This window comes from Homo sapiens, chromosome 6 (assembly GCF_000001405.40).
Source record: "Homo sapiens chromosome 6, GRCh38.p14 Primary Assembly".
Taxonomy (NCBI): Eukaryota; Metazoa; Chordata; class Mammalia; order Primates; family Hominidae; genus Homo; species Homo sapiens.
This window is the reverse complement of record NC_000006.12, coordinates 83504713-83506016: the sequence shown is the minus strand read 5'-3', so window position 1 is coordinate 83506016 and position 1304 is coordinate 83504713.

The window sequence follows — 1304 nt, the reverse complement described above, 5'->3', positions numbered from 1 at the left end:
CTGTCTCAAAAAGAAAAAATTAAGCTTATTAATTTTTTAAAAACCACAATAAATTTATTTTAACATAGACAAACACAAATCAAGGTATATTTTTTTCAGCCATTTCAACATTCCTCTCACATTAGGTCTAAATCCTGCTTCGGCTATTTACCAGCTGGGTAAATTCAGGCAATTGGCTTAATCTCCCTCAGCCTGATTTTCCTTATTTGAAAAATTGGAATGATAATCTCAATCCTGAAAGGTGCTGTTAGGATCAAATAGAAGAATATCTAAAGTATTATAGCTCTTATTATGAGAGCCCATAGTAGGCTCTCAATAAATGGCAGCTACATTTCAAAATCACTCTCTACCCCTGCTCGTGGTGTCACAAGGGTGACGTGATTGATGATTTCAGCCATGGCCTACAGTCCCTCCCTAACATCCACTGAAACTTCTTGTTTCAGTTCCAGGGATAATGGTCCCTTCCCCTTTTGTCTCAACTTTGGTCAGTTACTTGAGGCCTGGGAATTAATTCTGGTCTGCTGCCCAGTGAGCAAGCAGCAGGGCTCACACAGCTTTTTCCTCATCCGATTTTAGCTGATCTCACTTCATAGTTTAAAACTTAACCATCGAATTCAAATTCAAACCTCCTAGCCACATTTAATTTGACAAATAAAAGCCCTTATTTCTGTAAGTTTTTTTGTTTTTATTTGTTGGTTTGTGTAGCAAGTTTTGCCCAAAATATAAAGGAAAGGATTAAATAAATGCAGGGTTTTGATGTGATAGCATTACTAAGAGCTAGCTAACTAGCTAATGTATTTACAGAGTCACTGCTCCCTCCCTGCCCCACAAATATAATGGAAACTACTTGAACTTTTGACACAAATATGGTCAAATCACTTCAACGGAACTAAAATCACCTTATATTTGCATATTTGTTTAGTGTCTGCACTCCCGAGAAAGAGATACTAAGACATTTCCGATAAAGCTGTACTATGTTGGCACTGAAATTGCCTAGAGTATTTTATTCTTAGCCAAGAAATTCCACATAGGACTAGATAAAACAGAATCATTTGATTTATTTCTAAATATATCACCGATACTGGGAAGATGTATAAATGCATTTACAAACGTAAATCCAAATCACTTGAAATTTTCCCTCAAAGACTGGCTCATGGAGCACAGAACATTAAAACTCTAGTCTGTCCTAGCCCAAAGCTTTTCAAAACAAGTATCAGAGAGCTGGACTTTGGGTATTTCTTGAATTGAATGGAATATTTTATTTGTGTAAGAGTTTCTGAATAGAGTTTGCTTTTTGTGTGTGT